At 55.1% G+C, this 25829-nt stretch overlaps 1 protein-coding gene and 2 non-coding genes across 6 annotated transcripts, besides 6 other annotated features; all 3 read right to left on the bottom strand.

Annotated features, from left to right (window-relative positions):
• Positions 1–137: 137 nt before the first annotated feature.
• Positions 138–18859, bottom strand: NANOS3 (nanos C2HC-type zinc finger 3). 4 transcript variants are annotated; one of them, NR_146096.2, is made up of 3 exons: positions 15458–15692; positions 3130–3227; positions 138–453 (listed from the first exon to the last, which is right to left on the bottom strand). NR_146096.2 is itself a non-coding variant. In NM_001098622.3 (2 exons), exons 1-2 carry the CDS (start codon positions 3644–3646, stop codon positions 392–394), a joined length of 579 nt encoding a protein of 192 aa, NP_001092092.1. In that variant the 5' UTR covers positions 3647–3761; the 3' UTR covers positions 138–391. The 4 variants fall into 4 exon arrangements, 1 of the variants encoding a protein (NP_001092092.1); NR_146095.2 differs by lacking the exons at positions 3130–3227; positions 15458–15692 and adding an exon at positions 18701–18859; NR_146097.2 differs by lacking the exon at positions 3130–3227.
• Positions 750–899: an enhancer, noted in NCBI's record as "active region_14147". NCBI's record gives its function as "activates an Ori minimal core promoter by ATAC-STARR-seq in GM12878 lymphoblastoid cells {active_cell/tissue: GM12878}" and the evidence as "EXISTENCE:reporter gene assay evidence [ECO:0000049][PMID:35858748]".
• MIR181D (microRNA 181d) lies at positions 5884–6020 on the bottom strand. Its single transcript, NR_030179.1, has one exon. It is a non-coding gene; the product is annotated as a microRNA 181d (primary transcript).
• Positions 6087–6196, bottom strand: MIR181C (microRNA 181c). The gene has a single exon (NR_029613.1). It is a non-coding gene; the product is annotated as a microRNA 181c (primary transcript).
• Positions 7921–8060: a silencer, noted in NCBI's record as "silent region_10217". NCBI's record gives its function as "represses an Ori minimal core promoter by ATAC-STARR-seq in GM12878 lymphoblastoid cells {active_cell/tissue: GM12878}" and the evidence as "EXISTENCE:reporter gene assay evidence [ECO:0000049][PMID:35858748]".
• Positions 14866–14955: a silencer, noted in NCBI's record as "silent region_10216". NCBI's record gives its function as "represses an Ori minimal core promoter by ATAC-STARR-seq in GM12878 lymphoblastoid cells {active_cell/tissue: GM12878}" and the evidence as "EXISTENCE:reporter gene assay evidence [ECO:0000049][PMID:35858748]".
• Positions 15438–16323: an enhancer, noted in NCBI's record as "H3K4me1 hESC enhancer chr19:13975386-13976271 (GRCh37/hg19 assembly coordinates)". NCBI's record gives its function as "activates a minimal SCP1, AML or CMV promoter by ChIP-STARR-seq in primed H9 embryonic stem cells {active_cell/tissue: H9 hESC(primed)}" and the evidence as "EXISTENCE:reporter gene assay evidence [ECO:0000049][PMID:30033119]".
• Positions 18523–18772: an enhancer, noted in NCBI's record as "active region_14146". NCBI's record gives its function as "activates an Ori minimal core promoter by ATAC-STARR-seq in GM12878 lymphoblastoid cells {active_cell/tissue: GM12878}" and the evidence as "EXISTENCE:reporter gene assay evidence [ECO:0000049][PMID:35858748]".
• Positions 18833–19262: an enhancer, noted in NCBI's record as "active region_14145". NCBI's record gives its function as "activates an Ori minimal core promoter by ATAC-STARR-seq in GM12878 lymphoblastoid cells {active_cell/tissue: GM12878}" and the evidence as "EXISTENCE:reporter gene assay evidence [ECO:0000049][PMID:35858748]".

Below are 25829 nucleotides of genomic sequence, written 5' to 3'. Positions count from 1 at the left end.
CACTTGTGTTTCTCTGCACAAAGCAGCTCACCCCAGCACCCCAGGGTGCCGAAACTCAAAGAAGGAGAAGGGGAGATCTAGGTACAGGACTCCCAGCAAGGTTCACACTACACCTTGTCCCAAGACCAGGGCTTGTCTGTTGTTGATCCATTCATAAGCATTTATTGAGGGCTGACTGGATGCCCAGCACTAGGGAAACGGCAGATGGCACAAAGGGTGGGGTCCCCAAGGACAGGGCGATTTCAGCTCTTCCCTTGCCAACCCCGGGTCATCCCCAGGGCTCAATCCCAGGCTGGGGGGAGGGTCTGGGAGTGGGGGCAGTCGTCATAGGGTGGGTCTTCCTGGAAATCCAGCCGAGCCCGGGTGCCCTTGCCCAGGTGTAGGCAGCCTCCTAGGTGGACATGGAGGGAGAGCAGGAGGGCGAAGGCTCAGACTTCCCGGCACCTCTGAAACCTAGTGGAGGGGGAGGGAGAGAAATGCTTAATCACAGGCGATGACTCAACGCTCCCCAAGTTGCCCACGGACTCGGCCTCCGGGCCTGCTGGACCTCTGGCGCCACCCAGGGGCTGCTCCGGAGACAGCGACCCCGTGACGTCTCTGGCTCCGCCGGGCGGCCCCGCTGGGACCCAGAGCCCGAGACAAAGCACAGGAGTTCCGATTCTGCGACTGTGGTGCCCTCTCGTGGCCGCCGTGCTCTGGGGTCCCCGGATCTGTTACTCCCAAAAGTTGTTCATCAGAAAGGCTGGCCGCAGGACACCATCTTCCCTATGTCCTTTTGGCCTCCAGCGTCTCCCAGTGAGACAGCATCAAACCTCACAGGAAACACTATCTTCTCCTGGAGGCAGTCTTTCATGCTTTCTTTTTTTTGTGAGACGGAGTCTCACTCTGTCGCCCAGGCTGGAGTGCAGTGACGTGACCTCAGCTCACTGCGACCTCCACCTCCCGGGTTCTAGCGATTCTCCTGTCTCAGCCCCCCGAGTAGCAGGGATTACAGGCGCATGCCACCATGCCCAGTTAATTTTTTGTATTTTCAGTAGAGACGGGGTTTCACCATGTTGGCCAGGCTGGTCTTGAATTCCTGACCTCAGGTGATCCACCTGCCTCAGCTTCCCCAAGTACTGGGATTACAGGCATGAGCCACCATGACCAGTGCTTTTTTTTTTTTTTAAGACGAGGTCTTGCTGTGTTGCCCAGGCTGCAGTGCAGTGGCACCATCTCAGCTCACTGCAGCCTCTGTCCCCTGGACCCAAGCGATCCTCCCTCGTCAGCCTCCCAAGTAGCTGGGACTACAGGCACACACTACCATGCCCAGCTAATTTTTTGTAGACACTGGGTTTCACCATGTTGCCCTGGCTGGTCTCAAACTCTTGGGCTCAAGCGATCCTCCTGCCTTGGCCTCCCAAAGTATTGGGATTACAGGTGTAAGCCATCACACCTGACCCTTTCATGACTTTAAGAAATGTTCACTGCAAAGCTGCCTGAGAGTAGTTGGGAGGGGTCGTCCTCTCCCAGTCACTATCCTCCAGGAGCTCACAGTCTGCTGGGGGAGGCAGTGCCCAAACACACCTAGTTAGACTGGCCCCTCCTCTGTTAGCTGACTTCCTCAAAGGCAATTTAAGTTGCTAGAACGAGTTTCTCTTTTAAAACCTCACTGGGGGCCAGGCATGGTGGCTCAAGCCTGTAATATCAGCACTTCGGGAGGCTAAGGCGGGTGGATCTCGAGGTCAGGAGTTCAAGACTCAGCCTGGCCAAGATGGTGAAATCCCGTCTGTACTAAAAATACAAAAATTAGCCGTGCGTGGTGGTGGGTGCCTGTAATCCCAGCTACTCGGGAGGCTGAGGTAAGAGAATCGCTTGAACCCGGGAGACAGGTTGCAGTGAGCCAAGATCGCGCCACTGCACTCTAGCCTGGGTGACAGAGCAAGACTCCATCTCAGAAAAATAATCAAATAAAAGAAAGAAAGAAAGAAAACCTCACTGGGGCCAGGCGTGGTGGCTCACGCCTATAATCCTAGCATTTTGGGATGCCTAGGCAGGAGGATCACCTAAGCCGTGTTTGAGACCGGCCTGGGAAACATAGTAAGACCCTGTTTCTATGGGAGGAAAAAAAAAACACACCAGGAATGGTGGTGCACGCCTGTAATTCCAGCTACTCGGGAGGCTGAGGCAGGAGAATCGCTTGAACCCAGGAGGCAGAGGTTGCAGTGAGCCAAGATCGCACCACTGAACTCCATCCAGCCTGGGTGGATAGAGCGAGACTCTATCTCAAAAAAAAAAATTAAAAAAAAAAAGGAAGAAAAATAAATTGATAAATAAATAAAATAAAAGTCTTCTTTCTGCATCTATAATAACCCTGCGGGCCAGATGTGGTGGCTGATGCCTGTAATCCCAGCACTTTGGGAGGCTGAGGAGGGTGGATCACGAGGTTGGGAGTTCGAGACCAGCCTGGCCAACATGGTGAAACCCCATCTCTACTAAAAATACAAAAATTAGCTGGCCATGGTGGCAGGCGCCTGTAATCTCAGCTTCTCAGGAGGCTGAGGCAGAAGAATCGCTTGAACCCGGAAGGCAGAGGTTGCAGTGAGCCAAGATCATGCCACTGCACTCCAGCCTGGGTGACAGAAAGAGACTCTGTCTCAAGATAAATAAATAAATACATAAACAAACTGGCTCGGTGCGGTGCTCACGCCTGTAATCTCAGCAGTTTGGGAGGCCGAGGTGGGCGGATCACGAGATCAGGAGTTTTGAGACCAGCCTGGCCAACATGGTGAAACCCCATCTCTACTAAAAATACAAAATTTAGCCGGGCATGGTGGCAATTAGCCGGGTGTGGTGGCGCGCGCCTATAATCCCAGCTACCCAGGAAGCTGGGGCAGGAGAATCGCTTGAATCCAGGAGGTGGAGGTTGCAGTGAGCCGAGATGGCGCCACTGCACTCCAGCCTGAGCAACAGAAAGAGACCTGTCTCAAGATAAATAAATAAATACGTAAATAAAATCAACTGCTGTTCTAAGCTCTCTCTAAGGTCTTCCCCTAACCCTTGGAGGTGGGTACTGGGGCTAATCTTACTTCACAGGGGGGCTCAGCCACTACCCTCGGACAGGTCCCCCCCAGCCACCTGTGCAGGCACCTGCTCCTCCTCCTCCTCCTCGGCGGTGGCCTGTGTCCTGTGTCTTCGCCTTGTCAGGCCGGACCAGCTTCTTGCCTGCCGAGTTTCGGGTGGTGTGGCTGTAGACGGAGGTGTAGCCCTGGCCAGTAAGTGGGCAGAAGCGTCGGGTGTGGGCGCGCTCACGTGTGGCGCCGCACTGGGGACACACGTAGTCCCGCAGGATGGGACACAGCACCCTGCCAGCCTCGTCCTTCAGCACGTGGGACTGGTAGATGGCCCGGGACTCGCCGTTGTGTTTGCAGAAAGAGCACAGGCGTTCGGGAGCTGGCGAGGACTCCAGGCTGCGCTTCTGATCCTTGGGTCCCGGCACTGGCACCGACTCCGGCGCTGGCATCGGCTCCAGGGCTGACACCGGCTCCAGCATTGGCTCTGGCTCTGGCTGGGGGCTCAGCCTGGTTTCAGGACCCTCTTTCCCACTCAGAGCCCTAACCAGGTGTGCCAAACCCAGGTAATCTGTCCACAGGTCAAAGGTCCCCATAGCTGGGCAGCATGTGCCAGGCGGAAGGAGTCACAGAGACAAGTAACCCTGCCTGGCTTAAGCTCCCTCCTTCTGACCCCTCTCTGCTGCCCCTTCCTTCCCCTCTCTGGAGCCTGGGAGTCTGTGCTGGCCGACCCTCCTTTTACCTCCAAGGGGGTGTGAAGAGGGAGGAGCAGGCTGTGGGAGGTTCCTTATTGTCACAGGGGGGCCTGGTGCCCCACTAATACTCCTCCTAAAGGGCTGTATGGCCTCTGGCTGTGCCGGGGGACTACAGGACACAGGGTGTGTGGGGGGGCATCCTGCGAGGTGCACCACAGCCCCCCGTACACACCTCCAGGGAATTGGGGGGCTACCCTGCCTCCCCTCCTTGTAGGAGTCCTTAGCCCTCCAGCCCCACTGGAGGATGGGGAGAATGGGTTGGAAACCCCACCCCCAAAGACTAGCAGTTACCAGTAACTTAAAGAAGTTAACTTAGTAACTTCTTTATAACTTTTTCTTCCTTCCCCTGGGCGGGGGAGTGGCCAGGTGCCCCTGGGTTCTTTGTGTGTGTGTGTGTCCAGGCGGGAGGTTGCTGATGCTCCAGCTGTCTCTGAAAGGAGTGTGGTAGTCCCAGGCTCATGGGCTGGTTGCGGGGGTAGGGGGGAAGGATCATGCCCCCCGGCCCCCAGCTCTGGTCTCCCTCCAAGAGTTTTCACATCGGTTGTCTTAGTGGAACCCCCATTGAATGGATGAGCAAACTGAGGTGTGAAGCCACCTGCCCATCCAGTTATTTATAAAGACATGCACCAGGCCAGGGAGTGGTGGCTCATGCCTGTCATCCCAACAGTTTGGGAGGCCAAGACAGGCGGATCACCTGAGGTCAAGAGTTCGAGACCAGCCTGGCTAACATGGTGAAACCCTGTCTCTACTAAAAATACACACACACACACACACACACACAAAATTAGCTGGGCATGGTGGCGGGTGCCTGTGATCCCAGCTACTCAGGAGGCTGAGGCAGAAGAATTGCTTGAACCCAGGAGGCAGAGGTTGCGGTGAGCCAAGATCAAGCCACTGCACTCCAGCCTGGGAAACAGAGTAAGACTCTGTCTCAAAACAACAACAACAAAAAGCACCACATCTGCCTCCTTCTTCTAGTTACTGGGGCCCCCTGAGGCTAGGTGCTGGGGAGGGAGCCCTTTCCTGGCGGGGGCTGCAGAGGGGTGAGAAAGAACCCTCTGGAGTTGGGAGGTGGGGGATAGCAAGTTGGGCTGTTAGGAGGGGACCCCTAGTACCTACAGGTCTTCAGTGTCCTCCCCGAGATGAGATCTCAGCTCAGTCCCAGGAGGGGAGGGTGTGCTCAGGACTTGGACACAGAGGAGAGACGCTGTGCCGCTTACACAGCTCATCCACCCATCCATTCATTTAAGAAACTTTTATTGGCCAGGCACTGTGGCTCATTTTGAGAGGCCGAGGAGGATTGCTTGAACCTAGGAGTTGGAGACCAGCCTGGGCAACGTTTTGAGACCCTGTTCCTACAAAAACACTTTTTCGAAATAAGCTAGGTGTGGTGGTGCGTGCCCGTGGTTCCGGCTACTGGGGAGGCTGAGGCGGGAGGATCAACGCTTGACTCCAGTTATTAGAGGCTGCAGTGAGCTAAGGTCACACCATTGCACTCCAGCCTGGGTGACAAGAGCGAGATCCTGTCTCTAATTTAAAAAACAAAACTATGGAGCACTCCACGGAGCAGAACTTACCACCCACATTTCAGAAAGGGGTTTTAGGCCAGGCAAAGTGGCTCATGCCTGTAATCCCAGCACTTTGGGAGGCCGAGGGGGGAGGATTACTTGAGGTCAGGAGTTTGAGACCAGCCTGGCCAACACAGTGAAATCTCGTCTCTACTAAAAATACAAAAATTAGCCCACTGTGGTGGCAGATGCCTGTAATCCCAGCTACTTGGGAGGCTGAGGCCAGAGAATCACTCAAACCCTGGAGGCAGAGGTTGCAGTGAGCTGAGATTGGGCCACTGCACTCCAGCCTAGGCAACAGAGTGAGACTCTGTCTTAAAAAAAAAAAAAAAAGGGGATTTTAGCTGCCCTGCCCCAGCCTGTTTACCCCCAACCCTCTAATATTTAGTCCCAAATCCAGCCAGAGCCCATCCAGATTCCAGACACCAGCTCTCCTCTCCAAAGAGGAGTGGTTGGGGTCAGGGCAAAAAACAGGCTGAGTGACTGTGGCGGTGGGGGGTCCTGTCCCCAGTCCCCATTCCCCTTAAGCCGTGTCTGGCCCAGCCACAGTGACATTCATCCCCCGGTGGGTCTGGCCTCAGTCCTCACAACCCACCGACAACAATGAATGTTGATTGTGACCTCGGCTGTGGCCTAGGGGAGGGGACGTGCCCAGGCTGGATTGGGGGCTCCCCAGGCCCCCCTAGATCTGGAAGGTCAGAGTCACCGGCAGGAGGATGGCAATTCCAGGCCTCAGGGTCCACTCAACGGTCGATGGTTTGCCTGAGCTGCCCAAACTCACCGACAGGTTGAATGTTCCCCCAAACCCTTGGCAAATTTTCCGGGACCTGGAGTCGGGGGTGGGGTAGGTGGCAGGGAACCAGAGAGCATGAAGAGGGAGAGGAGGAGAGAGTAAGGAACCCCTTTTCTCTCATGAAATAAACAAACGCTTTTCAGGTGCTGTTTGCACCTAGATCTGGGAAAAACACAAGGCAAATATAAATGCTAGTAAATAAAATGTAGCCTTTGCTATGGGGATGGAGATGTAGCAGTGCAGGGGAGTGCTGGCCTCAAGCCCGCTCCTTAAGTAATTCACAAAGTGATCCTGGAGGTGCAGATTACCCCCCTTTGTCAACTGGGGAGACTGAGGCCAAAGGCCACTGCTAGTCCGAGGTGGAGGAGGCATTCCAAGTGTTCCCGGGAAGTCTGGCAACGGAGGATCCTGGCCCCGAGGGCATTGATGCAACGTGGAGATAAACAAGCCATTTTAATACAATGTAATACGTTCTGGGAGCTTCACTGAGTTCCGGGCACGATGGTTTAGGAATCACAACAGCGTGAGTGGAGCGCTTGGGGGTGGGGGGTCGTCAGGTCTCTCCACTTTACAAGTGCACTGGGGCCCCACTAGACAGGGGAGAGGCAGGAGGTTCAGAGAGGGCGCCGCTCGCCCCGCGTGCGCGGTCACACAGCATCTGAACTCGGGCACTTCCGGAGGGAGTCCGCGCAGCCACGTGGGGGCTGCCCCTTGGGCCTCAAAACCGGCTGCGGCGCCCCCTCTCCATTTCCTCATCCCTCAAATGACCCCCAGTCCCTTCCTCCAGTGATCGCACAGAGTTCGGCGACCACCCCCCCGCCCCGGGTGCCCCCAGGCCTACAGGTACGCACCCCTATCTCCCACCCCCCGCAAGCCAAGCAGTGACGACCAGGGATGGGCGAGCGCGCCTTCGCCCCTGACCTGGGTCTGCGGACGGCCTAGGAAGGTGCACCCGGCATGGCCGGGTGCTGCGGCTCAGGCCTGTAATTCAGTATTTTGGGAGGCTGAGGCGGGAGGATCTTTTGAGCCCAGGAGATGGAGACCAACCTGAGCAACATAGCGAGATACCTGTCCCTACAAAAAAATTAGCTGGGTGTGGTGTAGTGAGCCTGTAGTCTTAGCTACTTAGGAGGCTGAGATGGGAGGATCGCTTGGACCCCAAGAGTTCGAGGCTCGAGGCTGCAGTGAGCCGTGATCGCGCCACTGTATTCCAGCCTGGGTCACAGGACGAGACCCCGTCGTCGCAAAAAAATAAGTAATTTCCTGGCCCCTGGCATTTCACCGAGGGGAATACTGAGGCCCAAAATAACCGCCTGGCATAACCCCAAGGTAGATGAGGGACCCCCAAGTGTGCCGAGCTGCGTGAACCACCCCCCCACCACACCCCTCACGGTGGTGGCAACGGAACCCGGCCGAGCCCCCGAGGACGCGCCCCCGAGAGCCCCGCCCCCGAGAGCCCCACCCACAGTCTGGAGCCACCAGCCAAGGCCCCAGCCCAGGCCCTGCCCCTTAGAGCCCCGTCGCTTTTGACCTGTTCCCCAGAACACACTCCCTCTAAAACCCGCCCATATAGACTCCCACGGAGCCCACCGCCAAACCCCTAAGCCAGTCCTCAAAGAGCCCAGCTCCCTTAGGGCCCGCCCCCTTAGAGCCCTCCACAAAAGCCTGCTCTATAGACGCCCCGGGACTGCGTCCTGCCCCCACGAAGCCCAACCCCCCACTAAGGTCCGCCCCGACCGGGCACGCCCCCAAACCGAATTTCGTAGGGCCCCTCAAGCCCGATCCCGGCTAACTCGCCCTCCCGAAGCCCCCCTCCCGCCTCCCGGCACCTTCTAGAGCCCTTTCCCCAGAGCCCGCCCTCTCACCCGCCCCGGGTCGGGGTCACGTTCCCACCCCTCTGTCTGGAGCTGGAGTGGGGCGCCCTCTCTCGCAGCTCATCCGCCACGTCCAGCAGATCCTCCCATTCAGGCTGTGGAGTGGGGGGGCCTGATCGGCTTCTCTTTATCCGCCACCTCCACCCCAGGTGTCCAGGCCCTTCCGAGGGAGGTGGCCGGTCCCCTGCCTTGTGGATCATCATTCTAAGGAGGAGAACGCCTAGGACTTGGGAAGGAGAGTGAGTTGGGAGCACAGGTGTTAATAATTACATTACTGATGATAACGCTACATTCATCACGCTGTGAGCAGGATATACCCATTTTGTGGACTGGGAAGGTAAGTGGCTCTGTTAGTCCAGAACTCTCAAGATTCCTCAAAAGCTTGGTTCTTGTCTGTAGTCCCAGCTAGTTGGGAGGCAGGAGGATGGCTGGAGCCCAGAAGTTGAGACTAGCCTGGAAAACACAGTGAGACCCCCATCTCTCTCTCTCTCTCTTTTTTTTTTTTTTTTTGAGATGGAGTCTTGCTCTGTCACCCAGGCTGGAGTGCAGTGGCGCGATCTCTGCCCACTGCAATTTCCACCTCCTGGGTTCAAGCAGTTCTCCTGCCTCAGCCTCCTGAGTAGCTGGGACTACAGGCACCTGCCACTATGGCCAGCTAATTTTTGTATTTTGAGTAGAGACAGGGTTTCACTATGTTGGCCAGGTTGGTCTCCAACTCCTGGGCCTCCCAAAGTGCTGGGATTACAGGCATGAACCACGGCACCCAGCAGTGGTTCTTTAAAACCCCGTTTCTTTAAAAAAGAAAAATCTTTATTCTCTTTTTTGTTGCTGTTGTTGTTTTGTTTTGTTTTGTTTTGAGACGGGGTCTCGCTCTGTTGCCCAGGCTGGAGTGCAGTGGCGCAATCACAGCTCACTGCAGCCTCGACCTCCCAGCCCCAACCAATCCTCCCACCTTAGCTTCCCAAGTAGCTGGGATCACAGGTGCCTGGCCTGGCTAACTTAAAACAAAAACAAACAAATAAAAAAAAGTTTTGTAGAGATGAGATCTCACTATGTTGCCCAGGCTGGTCGCGAACTCCTGGGCCTCCCAAAGTTCTGGGATTACAGGCATGAGCCACCTCGTCCCACAGGAATCTTTCTTCTTGATGACTGTGAACAGCTTTAATGTTGGGGGCGGGGGGTCATCAGGCAGGAGACATTCTGGCTATGTTGGAGGGGGTTCCCCAGACACCTCCTGTGTGTCCTTTCTGCCTCCCACTCCTCCCTCTGAGGGCTTTGGCCTTGAACTGCCAAGGAGGTTGTTCCCTGTAAGGTTTCTCCCTAAGACAAGACACAAGACCACAGTGGAAGAGGGGTCTGGTCTTGAAGGCCAGGAAGCTGGGGCTGGGGCGACAGGAGGCCGGCAGCCCCAATCCTGGGTCTGACTATCTCTCTTCTTTGCCTGTGGTCCGTGCAGGCTTCTGGCCCTCAGTGTCCATCTGGGTCCACCTGTCTCTTGGTCATCCCAGGGTCGTCTGTCTGGGTCGGACTATGCCCCTCACACATCTGTTCTCCATCTGGGTCTCCTGCCCAGCCCGTGCACCTGCCTCAAACTGTCTGGATCTGCCTGTATGTGTCTAGCTGTTTACCCCCCATCTCCATCTCCTGTCTGTGACTGGTGACCGTGATACCTGTCCCCTCCTGTCCCCTGAGGGAGTCTGCAGCCCTGCCCTGCTTGTCTGGTTGCAGCTGTCTGCTGGTTTGACTTTGAAGTCCCTCAGAGTGGGAGGTGACAAGCTGTCTCCTCCTGCTTGTGACCCTGAGCCTCAGTGCATGGGGGGTAGGGGTGTCTTTCAGGGCCTTCATTTTGCTTCTTCTTTATCCTTAGTTCCTGGGACCCCTCACCTGACCCCAGTGCAGCTGGGAGGGTCTTTCTGGGCAGGGGAGCTGGGGATAAGTGGGGTGTGGGGGACGGCCCTCTAAAAGCCACGTTATGAGCCGGGCACGGTGGCTCATTCCTGTAATCCCAGCACTTTGGGAGGCCGAGGCGGGCAGATCAGTTGAGGTCAGGAGTTCGAGACCAGCCTAACCAACATGGTGAAACCCCATCTCTACTAAAAATACAAACAAACAAAAAAAAAGTAGCCAGGCATGGTGGCGCACACCTGTAGTCCCAGCTACTTGGGAGGCTGAGGCACGAGAATTGCTTGAACCTGGGAGGCAGAGATTGCAGTGAGCCGAGATTGAGCCACTGCACTCCAGCCTGAGTGACAGAGTGAGACTCCGTCTCAAAAAAAAAAAAAAAAAAAAAAAAAGCCACGCTATCCCAGGGCCTTGCCCCCACCCCCCCACACATAGCACCAGGAAGGTGCAGGGCAGCTGGCACAAGTCGGGGGATCAGAGTCGGAGGTGAGAAGTCCTAGCAGAGGCAGGTGAGCAAGTGATGGATGGATGGATGGATGGAGGCAGCTCTACCGTCAAGCTGAAGAACAAGGCTGGGCGCCGGGTGGCTCATGCCCGTCATCCCACTGCTTTGGGAGGCCAAAGCAGGAAGACTGACTGAGCACAGGAGTTCAAGACCAGCCTGAGCAACATGGTGAAACCCTGGCTCAACTAAAAATAGAAAAACTTAGCCGGGTGTGGTGGTGTGCGCCTGTAGTCCCAGCTATTTGGGAGGCTGAGGTGGGAGGATCACGCAAGCCAGGGAAGTCGAGGCTGACGGAAGCCAGGGAAGTCGAGGCTGCAGTGAGTGAGACGCAGTCACGCCACTGCACTCCAGCCCAGGCTACAGGAGTGAGACCCTGTCTCAAAAAAAAAAAAATAGTTGAAGAACAAGGTGGGCATGGCTAGAAGGCCAGGTCTCCAAGCTCCCAGGGGTGTCTGGCGGCCCGTGTGTCCTGCCCGTGATTCTTGAAGTCTTGACTGTGAAGTCCCTCAGGGTGGGAGGTGGCAAGCTGTCTCCTCTCGATCTCAACCCTGAGCCTTGGTGCATGGGGGTTGGGGGTGTCTCTGTATGTTCACGCATGAGTACCTATATATATGCTCCTGTGTGTCTGTGTGTTGTATGTAACTGTATGTGTGTGCGTGTGTGTGTGTGTGTGCGTGCGTGTGTGTGTGTGTGTACTTGGGCCTGGAAGGGGGACACGGGGTGGGGGAGGTCGTCAGGACCTGGCAGACAAAGAGCCCATTATGGGGGTTCCAGCGACACCAAGAGCCCTGTGGGGGTCTCCGTGGGGTCACGGTGATGGCCCAGGCTGTCTAGACTGGCAAGCAGGGGTGTCTCGTTTCAGTGATACCTGCGTGGGCTCTGAGGTTCCCACCCCACCCTCCGCAGGCCACCTCCCCCACTTCCTTTCCAGCTGCGGGAGTCTTTCATGCCAGGGGTCCTCAGACAAGGGGCTCCTCTGTCCCACCCAGCCCGTGGGCGGTGGGTGGGCTAGGAGCCCAGCTTCCTTCCCAGGCCTGCCAGATGTGAGGCCAGGGCTGGGGAAGGCGAGAAGGTTCTGGCTTCTCCAGGAATGGGATTGGGGGCTATGGAGGGGCCAAGCTGAAGGAGAATTCAGGCCGGGCACGGTGGCTCATGCCCGTAGTCCCAACGCTTTGGGAGGCCGAGGCAGGAGGATCACTTGAGCCCAGGAGTTCAAGATCAGCCTGGGCAACGCAGTGAGACCTCATCTCTACAAAAAACAAATTAAAAAAATTTTTTAATAAGGGAAATTCAGACACTTCTACTGAGGCTTATGGTGCTGGGTGACCCTGGGTTTGGGGTCAGGGTGGGCTCCGTCTCAAGAACTCTTGTAGGATGTTTCTATGGGTCTATAAATAGGGGCTTCAGGTCCAAGCTACTTTGCTGAGGTATTTTGGGGGGTTCTGTGGGTGTCTGTAAGTCCAGGTGGGAGTGTGCTATAGCAGGTGGCTGTCTCTCCACCAGCTGTGTGTGTGCGTGTGTGTGTAAGTTCCTGTGGGCTTCTGTTTGTGTGTGGATGTCAGCATTGCTGTGGGTGTATATCAGGCTAATTGTGTGTAATTCCAGGTCGACATGTGAGCCAGTGTGCGTGGGTGTCTGGTGTCTGCTGGTGTCACTATGAGTGACTGGAGTCTGTATCATCCAGTCATGGTGTCCCCCCCATCCCATTCCCCACTAAAATGTCAGGTGTGGGAAGACAGGGATTTCATTCTTTTTTTTTTTTTTAAAAGAGACTAGGTCTCGCTGTCACCCAGGCTAGAGTGCAGTGGTGCCATCATAGCTCACTGCAATCTCAAACTCCTGGGCTCAAAGCGATCCTCCCGCCTCAGCCTCCCTAGTACCTGAGACTATAGGCGCACACCACCACGCCCAGCTAATATGTTTTTTAAACTCCTCATCTCAAGTGATCCTGCCACCTCGGCCTCCCAAAGTGCTGAGATTACAGGCGTGAACCACTGTGCTCGTTCAGATTTCCCTCTTGTTCACAGCTGCATCCCCAGTGCTAGAACAGTGCTGGGTACATAACAGATGCTCAATAAATGAGTATTGGGGCCGGACGCACTGGCTCACACCTGTAATCTCGGCACTTTGGGAGACCGAGGTGGGTGGATCACCTGAGATCAGGAGTTCAAGACTAGCCTGGACAACATTGTGAAACTCTGTCTCTATTAAAAATACAAAAATTAGCCAGGCATGGTAGCGGGCGCCTGTAATCCCAGCTACTCGAGAGGCTGAGGCAGGAGAATCGCTTGAACCTGGGAGTTGGAGATTGCAGTGAGCTGAGATTGTGTCACTGCACTCCAGCCTGGGTGACAGAGCACTCCAGCCTGGGTGACAGAGCAAGACTCTGTCTCCAAAAAAAAAAAAATATTATTGGGTTTGTGGGCATCCAGATGACAGGATTTCTGCCTGCCTGTGTGTCATTTCCCCGTGAGTCTATGCATGCCAGTGTGTATGCATGTGTTACTGTGTCTGTGTGTATGTCAGTATTATTGTAGATGTGCAGGTGTCTGAGTGCCTAAACAAGTCTCAGGGTAGGTGACGATGGGCATATGGCCACTGGGTTCGTGCTCATATATCTTTGTGGGTGACAGTGTCTTTGTGGGTGGCTAAGAGGATCCATTTTACTGTGAACAACTGTGTGTCCATGTGTGCAGTTGTGTTCTTGGGCGGGGGTGGTCTGTATGTGTGTGTATATCAAGATTACTGAGACCTGCTACTCGGGAGGCTAATGTGGGAGGATCATTTGAGTCTGAGAGTTTGAGGCTGCTGTGAGCTATGATCGTGCCACTGAACTCCAGTCTGGGTGACAGAGCCAGACCCTGTCTCAAAAAACAAAACAAACAAACAAAAATTTGGGCCAGGCATGGTGGCTCGGCGCTCTGGGAAGCCGAGGTGGGTGGATAGCTAGAGCTCAACGAGTTTGAGACGAGCCTGGGCAACCGGCAAAACTCCATCTCTACAAAAAATACAAAAATTACCCAGGTGTGGTGGTGCGCACCTGTTCTCCCAGCTACTCGGGAAGCTGAGGTGGGAGGATTGCTTGAGCCCAGGAGATGGGCCTAGATTGCAGTGAGCCTAGATTGCAGTGAGCCTAGATCGTGCCACTGCACTCCAGCCTAGGCAGCAGAGTGAGACCCTGTCTCAAAAAAATAAAAAGGAAACTGTGGCCGGGTGCGGCGGTTCACACCTGTAATCCCAGCACTTTGGGAGGCTGAAGCCAGCGGATCCCCTGAGGTCAGGAGTTCAAGACCAGCCTGGCCAACATGGTGAAACCCCATCTCTACTAAAAATACAAAAATTAGCCTGGTGTGGTGGCACGCGCCTGTAATCCCAGCTACTCAGGAGGCTGAGGCAAGAGAATTGCTTGAATCCGGGAGATCGTGCCACGGCATTCCAACCTGGGCAGCCAAGAGAGACTCCATCTCAAAATAAATAAGTAAATAAAAATAAAAAAGATTATGTGTGACCTGCTGTCAGATGTGTTTCTGCAGGCCTTGTACCGTCTGTGTGTGTGTGTATGTGTGTGTGTGTGGTGGGGGTGACTGTGGGTGACTGTGAGTGTGCAGGTGTGAACTTGGTTGGGAGGACACATGGATGTCTGTGTGTGTCCCAGGTATTGTGAACGATGGAGTCGGAGTCTGTGTGTGCCTGACTGATGGGCTTTAGGGATCTGCGTTTGTCATTGCTACCCTGAGTGACATGCTGTGGGTGAACACCCACTTCTGTGTGTCAGTGTTATGCGAAAGGCTGTGTCTATGTTGTAGCTGCCTTCGTTGGTGGCTCCATTTCTGTGTGACAGCCTTTCAATGGGCACTATCCCTGGATGTCCGAGCCCTTGTGGGTGACGTGTCTACACACGTGGCAGTGTTATTGTGGGGACTGTATGTGTGTGTCAGCATCACTTTCGACTGCGTATTAATCGGGGTGCTGTATGTCTGTGTATAGCGTGTAATTTTGGGGGTCTCCATCAGGGCCTTGGGAATATCTAATCGTGGCTGGCTTAATGCATCTGTGAGCAGTCCAGGGGTGTGGAATGGGTAGGGAAAGAGATGGGGGGAGGGGAACCGAAGTGTGGGACCGTGGGGGGGACGTCTCAGTCCCTATCAGCCAATGAGGTGTCTTTTCCACCCCCCCACCCCCAGCCTGCCCTCCAGGGCAGGTCGCCGTGAAAGGCGCCCTGTAGCTTTAAAAGGGCTCCCCGGCAGTGGGATTCGGGGCCATTTTCCCTTTTTATGGCCAGTTTTGGAGGGCGGGTTCCTGTTCGCAAACCTTGGCCCCAGTAAATACCCTGCAGCTGCTGCCGGTAATGACAGGCCGGAGGGGCGGCCCGCGCAGGGCGCCAGGGCTTCCGGAGGTGGCGCGGCTGCAGCACCCCCAGCCCGCGGCCAGGCCTGAGCGGGGCCCCCGCCAGGATCGGTCTCCGCAGGCCCGAGCGCCCATGAACTTGGCCGGAGCAGCCTTCACGAACGCGCGCGCGCCGGGCCGTACTCTCTTCTGGCATTCGATTTCCGAGCGCCCCACCCGCCCCGCGCCCCCAAGAACAAAGCTCGCCGCCGCCCCGGCCCGTGGCCTCCCCGCGCGCGGTCAGGTGTCGGGCGGTCGGGGCGCCGCTGTCCCCACGCCCCCCATCGCGCGTCCCCGCCCCGCGAGGGCATCTCCGCTTGCCCTCCCCCTGGCGGCCCCGGCTCCGGGACTCGGGGGTCTGTCCCCTTTGCAGAGTCCGACCCTCCCGGCGCCCCCTCTCCGGAAAGGCGAGACGCAGAGATGCCGCCGGGGCCTCCCCGCCCCCCTTCCAAGCCCCAACAACAATGGAGGGCCGGGCCGCAGAGGCCGGGGCGCCCGCCCCGGGGCTGCGAGCAGGTGCGCGAGGGGGCTGCGGCCGCGTCCCGCCCCGCCCCGCCGCGCCCCCTGCCCGCGGGCGGCCCCCGCCCCGCCCGTGCCCCCGGCCCGCCCGGCGCCCGCGCTCACCTCGATTGGGGCCGCCGCCGCATTTCCCCCTCTTCTTTCCAAAACCCGCCCGGAAAAGCCCCCCGGGCCCGAGGCGCCTGCACGGGAAATTGCATTTCGGCGGCTCCGGGGCAGGGCGGGGGCTCCCTAGGCCGTGGGCGGGGGGGGGGAGGGGGCCGCGGGGCTCCGGCGCCGGCTCGAACCCGTGGCCGCCGCCGCCCGCCCGCCTGTCTGTCTCGGTGACGTGCCCGCGCTCCCCGCTGCCGCCGCCCCCTCCCTCCTCCCCGCGCCGCGCCGGGCGGTGGGTCCAGCCGCGGCCGTGCGCGTCCCGAGGCCTCCTGCCAGGCGCACCGGGACGCACTCGGGGGATGCCCGTGGGTCTCCAAAACGCAGCTCCCGGGGCCCGCGCGGGGGAATCAGGGACACGGGGGCGCGGGCGGGCACACGCAGGGACCCAGACGCACGCAGACCTCAAAGGCGCCGGGGGGAGCACACGCGCACAAAGGCACGCGGGCCACAGACATAGGGAACGGTGTGCAGGGGGCTGCGAGACACACACCCAAGGGAGGGGGTGGCGGGACGTGCGGGCGTGCCGGGCCGCACGAGGGTGGTCATAAAACCCAGCTACACACAGAGGGACACCCGGGGGCACCAGACACATGCAAGGTACACAGACACACCACATTCAGGACAGGAGGGAAGGTCCTTAGAACCGAAATATGCAGAAACGCGGCTGAACCCCGGGCACGCACAGCTCACACAAGACACACGGACACGCAGGAGATCACAGACGCACTGGGGTATCCACAGACCTGAGATATACCCCCCAACATACACACACAGTACCCCAGGTACACAGCCACAGGAGCACCGTGACACACACAAAATAACCTAATACATGGATATAGACATAGAACCAGAACACACCCATGGAGACACAGATCCACAAAGTTCACAGACACACACATATATGCACAGCCACTCGGGTCAAATGGACCAGTCGCAGAGGCAGAGAAACACAGCCAACAGCCACATGCACAAGACCCCCAGCAGGTCCCAGAGCCACAGGGGTCCACATGGACACACGCAATTCAGGGGCACGTGGGGATGTGTACCTGGGACCATGAGGCACAAGCATATATACAGGCCAGGTGCACAGACCACATGCAAGCTGTACAAAGGATGGGGCTCCCCGGATCTCCCAAAGATCCTTGCACAGACGGTACTCCTCCCCAGACATCCCCCCTCCCCCTGCCCAGGTATAAGAGCATGCACAAGGCTGGAATGATCGTACCCTGGCTGAGGCTCCACACACTGCCCCTGCCCGCAGTGGCCACCGCGGCTGGTAGAGGAAGGTCACATCAGGGCAAACCATGGCGCCAGGCAGCCTCCCATTGGCCCGGGCTGAGCTGACAGATTTCTCATTCTGTTTATTTATCCCCCACCCCAGTCTGAGAGGGGGATGGAGAAACCTTTGACTGGCCCCCTTCCAAGCCCAGACCTTAACCCTTATGGGGCCATGGCCCTTCCCCACCTGATCGCGCACCCCTCACTTCCTTTCAGCCTCCTCCACCACAGTCCTGCCTCAGTTTCTCCTTGACAGGTTCACCCTCCCACATCGTCCAGCTGCCTTCAGGTCTCAGCCCAGAAAGTCTGGTTCCAGGTCCAGGAGAGTGGATGTCTCCAGGACCACTCCCCCGACCCCCAACCCCACCAAAGGTTAGAGGGGCCAGCTGTAGTCTACACCTAACCTCTCCCAAAGGAAGTCTTCTCCCAGAGTGGGGATGGAGAGACACGTGCAGGGGAGAGAATGGGAGTTCATTGCAATCTAGTAATCATACCTCCATGGGGTTGGGGGGGGCCAGTCAGCTCTGTTGATGGCCCTCCTGTGCCGCCCGCCCCCCTGCCGGCCAGCCCTTCTTACAGAAAAGAGGCAAGGGGGGCCGGGCACAGTGGCTCAAGCCTGTAATCCCAGCACTTTGGGAGGCCGAGGCAGGAGAATCGCTTGAGGCCAGGAGTTCAAGACCAGTCTGGGCAACACAGCGAGACACTGTCTCTACAAAAATAAAATTAAAAAAAAAATTAGCTGGGTGTGGTGGTGAGCGCCTATAGTCCCAGCTACTTGGGAGGCTGAAGCAAAAGGATCCGTTGAGCCCAGGAGTTCAAGGCTACAATGAGCTATGATGGTGCCACTGTACTCCAGCCTGTGCAACAGACAGAGACTTCATCTCTAAAAAAAAGAGCGTATTGGGGAAAGAGTTCCTCTCTTAGAAAAAGAGGCGGAAGGGGTTGGGGAGGGACTTGCTTTGGAATATGCAACATTCACATTTATTCATTCACTCATTCATCCACTCATAGACGTGTATGAGCCTCGTCTCCCATCCAGACCAGAGCAACCCTTGAGGCAGGGACTATTCTCTTTAGAAGGGTGGGCCCAGGGTAGAGTTCTCCCCAGCTGTATCTTCGAACCTTCTTCCTGGTCCCAGGAATGCCTATCATCATCTCAGATTCTTCCCAGCAGGCCAATGAAGTGAATACTGCCCTTTCCACAGATGGGCAACCGAGGCCCAGATGGGGCCTGCCCTTGCCCAAGGTGGTACCGCCTGTAAGAGGCAGGGCTGGGGCCAGGCGTGGTGGCTCACACCTGTAATCACAGCATTTTGGGAGGCCGAGGCGGGCGGATCACGAGGTCAGGAGTTCGAGACCAGCCTGACCAACATGGTGAAATCTCTTCTCTACTAAAAACACAAAAATTAGCCGGGCGTGGTGGCACGCGCCTATAATCCCAGCTACTCAGGAAGCTAAAGCATGAGAATCACTTGAACCCGGGAGGCGGAGGTTGCAGTGAGCCGAGATTGTGCCACTGCACTCCAGCCTGGGCCACAGAGCGAGACTCCGTCTCAAAAAAAAAGAAAAAAGAAAAAAAAAAGGCAGAGCTGGAATTCTTTCTGTGCGAGGCCTTTCCCCCCGTCTCTTCTCCAGGACCGGCCAGCTGTCCTGCTCGCTGAATTTCCTGCAGCCACCAGCAGGGGGCAGCAGAGTCCAGCGCCCTCCCAGCTGTGGAGGCCGGCGGGACTGATCTCAGCTCTCAGCGCAGTCTCCTCCCCCTCCTCCCCGCCACCTCCCACTCCACGGTAGCTGAGGACTCTGCCTGGACACCCCAGGCTGGAGCCTCCACTGCTCAAATGCAGAGTCCCCAGAAGGAAGGGCCCCTTCTTAAATAAAGCCCCCTAGAAGTGCCGTCCACACAAATGTCCAACTCACTCGGTGTTTCTCTACGTCTAACTCTCCTTCTTGCTGCAACGCATTTGCCGGGGCGGGCGGCCTCTGCATTCCTGAACTGGGTCAGACCAGGAGAGAGGATTCCTGGATCCTGGCCCAGTGGCCAATCCGCCCTGGGCTTCTCACCCCCCAGACTCCTCTGAAGATCCCCAGAGCCCAGCACAGGATGGGAGGAGCGGTGGGGGAAGCCCCAGCGCCCCAGACGCCTTAGGGCGTGGGAACTGCCCTCCCCCCTACACACCCCCGGTCCCCAGTTCCTGGGGCCCCTGCCAGTGCTGACTCATAGGGGGAGCCCAGGGCTGCGACACAGCAGCAGCTCTTCCTGAACCTCTCCCTGGGAGATTTCACCTCCTGTCCCCTTGGGGGTCTCCGTGGGGACCCAAGGTGGGTGTAAGAGCCAGGCAGCCCTTCTCAACTCCATCAGCCCGGAACTCCAGCCCCCGAAGTCCCCCAAGGCTGTGGCCATTGGACACTGGGTGGATGTGTCAGGCCGTGGGGGTCTTCGGAGGTGCCCCTGTATACTCAGATGTGGGTGTAGTTTGCACACTCAGGCATCGACCGAGAGAAAGCCCCGAGGAGGCAAAGCCTAGGCCATGTGGGTGCTTTCCTCCGCACCCCACCAGAGTCTGGGCAGGGACACTTCAGGGCCAGAACGAAGCCCTGGGCTCAGAGCTCATTTCCTCAACTGCAAACGGTCTCCCGCCATCTTCCCGGTCTCCGGAAATGGCAGCTCCATCCTCCCAGCTGCTCAGACAAAAACTTTTATTAACAGATGCAACCCATTAACAATTTTGCTTACTGTCCTTTTTTTTTTTTTCTTCTGAAACAGGGTCTGGCTCTATCGCCCAGGCTGGAGTACAGTGGCACGATCTCTGCTCACTGTATCCTCCGCCTCCCGGATTCAAGCCATCCTCCCATTTCTTTCAGCCTCCCAAATAGTTGGGGCAACAGGCACCTGCCACCACGCCTGGCTGATTTTTTTGTATTTTTAGTAGAGATAGGTCTTGCTATGTTGCCCAGGCTGGTCTCGAACTCCTAGACTCAAGCAATCCACCCGTCTTGGCCTCTTAAAGTGCTGGGATTACAGGCATGAGCCACTGCTCCCAGGCTAGTTACTGTCCCTTCTAATGCATCCAGAATCCTGACTTCTCCAAGGCCCACCCTGGTCCGGCTTCCATCATCTCTCCCCAGAATTGCTCCAGTTGCCACCTCTCTGCACACCTTGCAGCCCCCGACAGTCTGTCCCCATCCCCCTAATCCCCTCCCCACCACAGCAGCCGGGGCGGGGCGCCTGTGAGCACCCAAGTCAGGTCCAGTCCCTCCTCTGCTCAGAACCCTCAATGGCTCCCACCTTATTCAGAGCAAAAGCCAAAGTCCTCCCCAGGACCCAGAAGGCTTTGCACAGTCTCCTGTCTCCTCTCTGCCTCACCCTCTCCACTCCCTCCCTCATTCACCCCATTCCAGACCTCCTCAGCTGGGATTACAGGCAACCACCACGACACCCAGCTAATTTTTTTTGTATTTTTAGTAGAGACAGGGTTTCACCATGTTACCCAGGCTGGTCTCAAACTCCTGAGCTCAGGCAATCCGCCCACCTCAGCCTCCCAAAGTGCTGGAATTACAGATGGAGCCCGGCCGACTCCCCTATTTCAAAATTGCACCCACCTTGCTTTCTCCTCTATTTATTTCTCACAACCCTGTCACCTTTTTTTTTTTTTTTTTTTTTTTTTGAGATGGAGTCTCGCTGTCGCCCAGGCTGAAGTGCAATGGCGCGATCTCGGCTCACTGCAACCTCCGCTCCCGGGTTCAAGCCATTCTCCTGCCTCAGCCTCCCAAGTCGCTGGGATTACAGGTGCCACCACCATGCCCGGCTAATTTTTTGTATTTTTAGTAGAGACGGGGTTTCACTATGTTGGCCAGGCTGGTCTCAAACTCTTGACCTCGTGATCCGCCTGCCTCGGCCTCCCAAAGTGCTGGGATTACAGGCGTGAGCCACCGCGCCTGGCCCTGTCACCTTTCAACACACTACATGTTTTACTACACATCTTGTTTCTTGTCTGTCTCCTGTACTTGATTGTCAGCTCTGCCAGCACAATAGCTGTTGTCTTTTTTTTTTTTTTTTTTTTTTTTGGAGAGATGGGGGTGGGTCTCACTTTGTTGCCCAGGGCAGTCTCGAACTCCTGGGCTCAAGCGATCCTCCTGCCTCAGTCTCCCAAAGTGCTGGGATGACAGGTATGAGCCACCGTGCCCAGCCTACAACGTTTGTCTTCATCACTGCTGGAGAACTTAAAAAAGGCCCTTAGTCAATATCTAGTGAATTAATGCATTAATAATCACTATGTTCCTGGCATGCATGTGGGGTGAGATGATGGGAAGTGGGGGAGGGACAAAACAGACTAGGAGCTTGCCTGCCACCATCTGGCAGGGGGCTAGTCATGTAGCTAGCCAATTACAATGAAGAGTTTTCAGTGCTGAGAGTCAAGGCCCAGCCTGGAAGATGAAAGTGCAATCTGGGAAGGCTTTTGAGGAGGTGACGTCTTATAGGTCCTTGATCAGTAAGGAGTTTGGATTTAAGTATGATGAGAAGGCTTAGGGATTTTTGTTTGTTTGATTTGTTTTTTAGAAACGGGATCTTGCTGTGTTGCCCAGGCTGGAGTTCAGTAGCACACTCCTAGCCCATTGAGGCCTCAACCTGGGTTTCGGCAATTCTCCTGCCCCAGCCTCCCAACTAGCTGGGACTACTGGCACACACCACCACACCTGGCTAATTTTTAAATTTTTTTGTAGTGACAGTGTCTCACTATGTTGCTCAGGCTGGTCTCAAACTACTGGGCTCAAATGATCCACCCTCCTCAGCCTCCCAAAGTCTTGGGATTACAAGCATGAGCCACCATGCCCAATCAAGGGTTTTATTATTTTATTTTATTTTGTTTTGTTTTTTGAGACGGAGTCTCACTCTGTTGCCCAGGCTGGAGTGCAGTGGCATGATCTCGGCTTATTGCAATCATCTCTCCCAGGTTTAAGCGATTCTCGTGCCTCAGCCTCCAGAGTAGCTGGGATTACAGGCGCCCGCCACCATGCTCAGCTAATTTTTGTATTTTTAGTAGAAATGGGGTTTTGCCATGTTGGCTAGGCTGGTCTCAAACTCTTGACCTCAAGTGATCCGCTCGCCTTGGCCTCCCGAAGTGCTGGGATTATAGGTATGAGCCACCGCACCCGGCCTCTACAAAAATTTTAAAAATTAGCTGGGCGTGGTGGTGTACGCTTGTGGTCCCAGCTATTCAGAGGCAGAAGTGAGAGGACTGGTTGAGCTCCAGAGGTGGAGGCTGCAGTGAGCCATGATCACACCACTGCATTCCACCCTGTCTAGAAAAAAAAAATTGTTTTTTTCAATAAAGATAGGATCCAACAGAGCTGGGATTAGGGATAGGTGAGTGACATGAGTCACACAAGGGCAGGACTCGGGCCTGTCTGGACTGCATTTTCCAATGACGTTACTACTGGTCACGTGGCTACTGAGCACCTGAAATACAGCTATTCTTCGAAGTAATGGCAGCCGGGTGCAGTGGCTCACGCCTGTAATCCCAGCACTTTGGGAGGCCGAGGAGGGTGGATACCTGAGGTCAGGAGTTTGAGACCAGCCTGGCCATCATGGTGCAACCCCGTCTCTACTAAAAACACAAAAATTAGCCAGGTGTGGTGGTGCATGCCTGTAATCCCAGCTACTCGGGAGGCTGAGGCAGGAGAATCGCTTGAACCCGGGAGGCAGAGGTTGCAGTGAACCGAGACTGTGCCACTGCACTCCAGCCTGGCAACAGAGCAAGACTCTTCCTCAAAAAAAAAAAAAAAAAAAAAAAAAGCAGGCGCGGTGGCTTATGCCTGTAATCCCAGCACTTTGGGAGGCTGAGGCGGGTGGATCACAAGGTCAGGAGATCGAGACCATCCTAACACGGTGAAACCCCGTCTCTACTAAAAATACAAAAAAAATAGCCAGGTGTAGTGGCGGGTGCCTGTAGTCCCAGCTACTCGGGAGGCTGAGGCAGGAGAATGGCGTGAACCTGGGAGGCGGAGCTTGCATTAGCTGAGATCGCACCACTGCACTCCAGCCTGGGGGACAGGGTGAGACTCCGTCTCAAAAAAAAAAAAAAAGAAAAGAAAGAAAGAAAGTAATGATGGCAAGAACCACAATTACTTTGCACCAACCTAACAGTTTGAATTGAGATGTTATAAGTATAAAATCCACATCAGATTTTTGAAGACAGTACCAAAAAACTGAAATATCTCATTCATAATATTTACCTTGATTATATGTTAAAAGGATACTATTTTGGATATACTCAGTTAAATAAAATCTTATTAAAATTAATTTTGTAGCCAAGTGTAGTAACTCACACCTGTAATCCCAGCACTTTGGGAGGCCGAGGCGGGTGGATCACCTGAGGTCAGGAGTTCAAGACCAGCCTGGCCAACATGGTGAAACTCCGTCTCTACTAAAAATACAAAAATTAGCCAGGTGTGGTGGCAGGCACCTGCAATCCCAGCTACTTGGAGGCTGAGGCAGGAAAATCACTTGAACCCAGGAAGTGGAGGTTGCAATGAGCTGAGACCATGCCACTGCACTCCAGCCTGGGCAACAGGACAAGACTCCGTCTCAAATTAAAAAAAAAAATAATTCTGGCAGGCTCACTGGCTCATGCCTGTAATCCCAGCACTTTAGGAGGCTGAGGCAGGCAGATCACTTGAGGTCAGGAGTTCAAAACCAGCCTGGCCAACATGGCGAAACCCCGTCTCTACTAAAAATATAAAATTGGCTGGGCATGGTGACATACACCTGTAATCCTGACTGCTTGGGAGGCTGAGGCAGGAGAATCACTTAAACCCGGGAGGCAGAGGTTGCAGTGAGCCAAGATCGTGCCACTGCGCTCCAGCCTGGGCAACAGAGCAAGACTCCGTCTCAAAAAAAAAAAATTAATTTTGGCAGGCTCACTAGTTTATGCCCGCAATCCCAGCACTTTGGGAGGCTGAGGCAGGTGGATCACTTGTGGTCAGGAGTTCAAAACCAGCCTGGCCAACATGGCAAAACCCCGTCTCTACTAAAAATATAAAATTGGCTGGGTGTGGTGGCACGCACCTGTAATCCCAACTACTTGGGAAGCTGAGGCAGGAGAATCACTTGAACCTGGGAGGCAGAGGTTACAGTGAGCCGAGATCCTACCACTGCACTCCATTCTGCGTGACAGAGTGATACTGTGTCTCAAAAATAAATAAATAAATGTGAATAAAATAAAATTAATTTCACCTGCTACTTTTTTAAAAAAATGTGGCTACTAAAAAAGTTTTCATTACATATGTGGCTTGCATTTGTGGCTCACAATATATTTCTTTAGACACTGCCTTTATTGCCTTCCCTCCCATTTACTTATCAGGCGGCTGCCTGATCACACTACTGATATCAGACTTCAGAGTCAGGCCAAGTTCTCAGCTGTAGCTGTCCTTGAGCTCCGTGTAGTATCTGTCACCTTTGCCTGGTTCCTCCTTGGCCTTGGGACACTAGATCCTCCTGACATCCCTTCTCTGTCTCAGTCTTCTTTGTGAGACAGCATCTGCTTCTCAAATACTTTGTTCCTGGGACATAGCTTTGGTCTATTTTATTTTCATTTTTATTTTATATTTATTTATTTATTTATTTATTTTTGAGACAGAGTCTCACTGTGTCGCCCAGGCTGGAGTGCAGTGGCGTGATCTCGGCTCACTGCAACCTCTGCCTCCCGGGTTCAAGAGATTCTCCTGCCTCAGCCTCCGGAGTAGCTGGGATTACAGGCACGTGCCACCACGCCCAGCTTTTTTTTTTTTTTTTTTTTTTTTTGAGACGAAGTCTTGCTCTGTTGCCCAGGCTGGAGTGCAATGGTGCAATCTCGGCTCACTGCAACCTGGGCCTCCCACGTTCAAGCGATTCTCCTGCCTCAGCCTCCCAAGTAGCTGGTATTAAAGGTGCCCGCCACCATGCCTGGCTAATTTTTGTATTTTTAGTAGAGACAGGTTTCACCATGTTGGCCCGGCTGGTCTTGAACTACTGAGCTCAAGTCATCCACCTGCCTCAGCCTCCTAAAGTGTTGGGATCACAGGCATGAGCCACCCCGCCCAGCCTCATTTTTATTTTAGAAACGAGGTCTCGTCATTTTAGAAACAAAGTCTCACTCTGTTGCCCAGGCTGGAGTACAGTAAAAGAATCCTAGCCCATTGCAGCCTCGACCTCCTGGGCTCAAGTGATCCTCTTGCCCCAGTGTCCTGAGTAGCTGGGACTACAGGCGAGGACCACCATGCCCAGCTAATTTTTGTAATTTTTGTAGGGATAGGGTTTCACTACATTGCCCAGGCTGGTCTCAAGCTCCTGAGGTGAAGTGATCCTCCCACCTCAGCCTCCCAAAGTACTGGGATTACAGGCATGGGCCACCACACCCAGCCCGTATCACATATTATTTGGCAATAAAAAGGAATAAGGTACTCACGCTTGTTACACTTGTTATAACATGGATGAACTCTGTTGACAGCATTTATACTCAGAGACAAAAAGTAGACCAGGGTTGCCAGAGGCTGAGAATGTTGGGGGGTGAAATAGAAAGTGATTTCTTTTCTCTTCTCTTTTCCTTTTCTTTCCTTTCCTTCCTTTCTTTCCTTTCTTTTTTTGAGACAGAGTCTCGCTCTGTCACCCAGGATGGAGTGCAGTGGCATGATCTCGGCTCACTGCAACCTCTGCCTCCCGGGTTCAAGTGATTCTCCCAACTCAGCCTCCCGAATAGCTGGGACTACAGGCATGTGCCACCATACCTGACTAATTTTTGTATTGTTAGTAGAGACGGGGTTTCACCGTGTTGGCCAGGCTGGTCTCGAACTCCTGACCTCAGGTGATCCACCTGCCTTGGCCTCCCAAAGTGCTGGGGTTACAGGCGTGAGCCACCACACCCGGCCAGAAAATGATTTCTAATGGGCTTGAGATTTCTTTTGCGGGTGATGGAAATGTTCTAAAGTTGGGCAGGGCGTGGTCACTCATGCTGTAATCCCAGCACTTTGGAAGGCCGATGTGGGAGGACTGCTTGAGCCCAGGTGTTTG

Source organism: Homo sapiens, chromosome 19 (genome assembly GCF_000001405.40).
Source record: "Homo sapiens chromosome 19, GRCh38.p14 Primary Assembly".
Taxonomy (NCBI): Eukaryota; Metazoa; Chordata; class Mammalia; order Primates; family Hominidae; genus Homo; species Homo sapiens.
The sequence above is the reverse complement of the archived record's forward strand: the minus strand, read 5'-3'. Positions and strand labels throughout refer to the sequence as shown.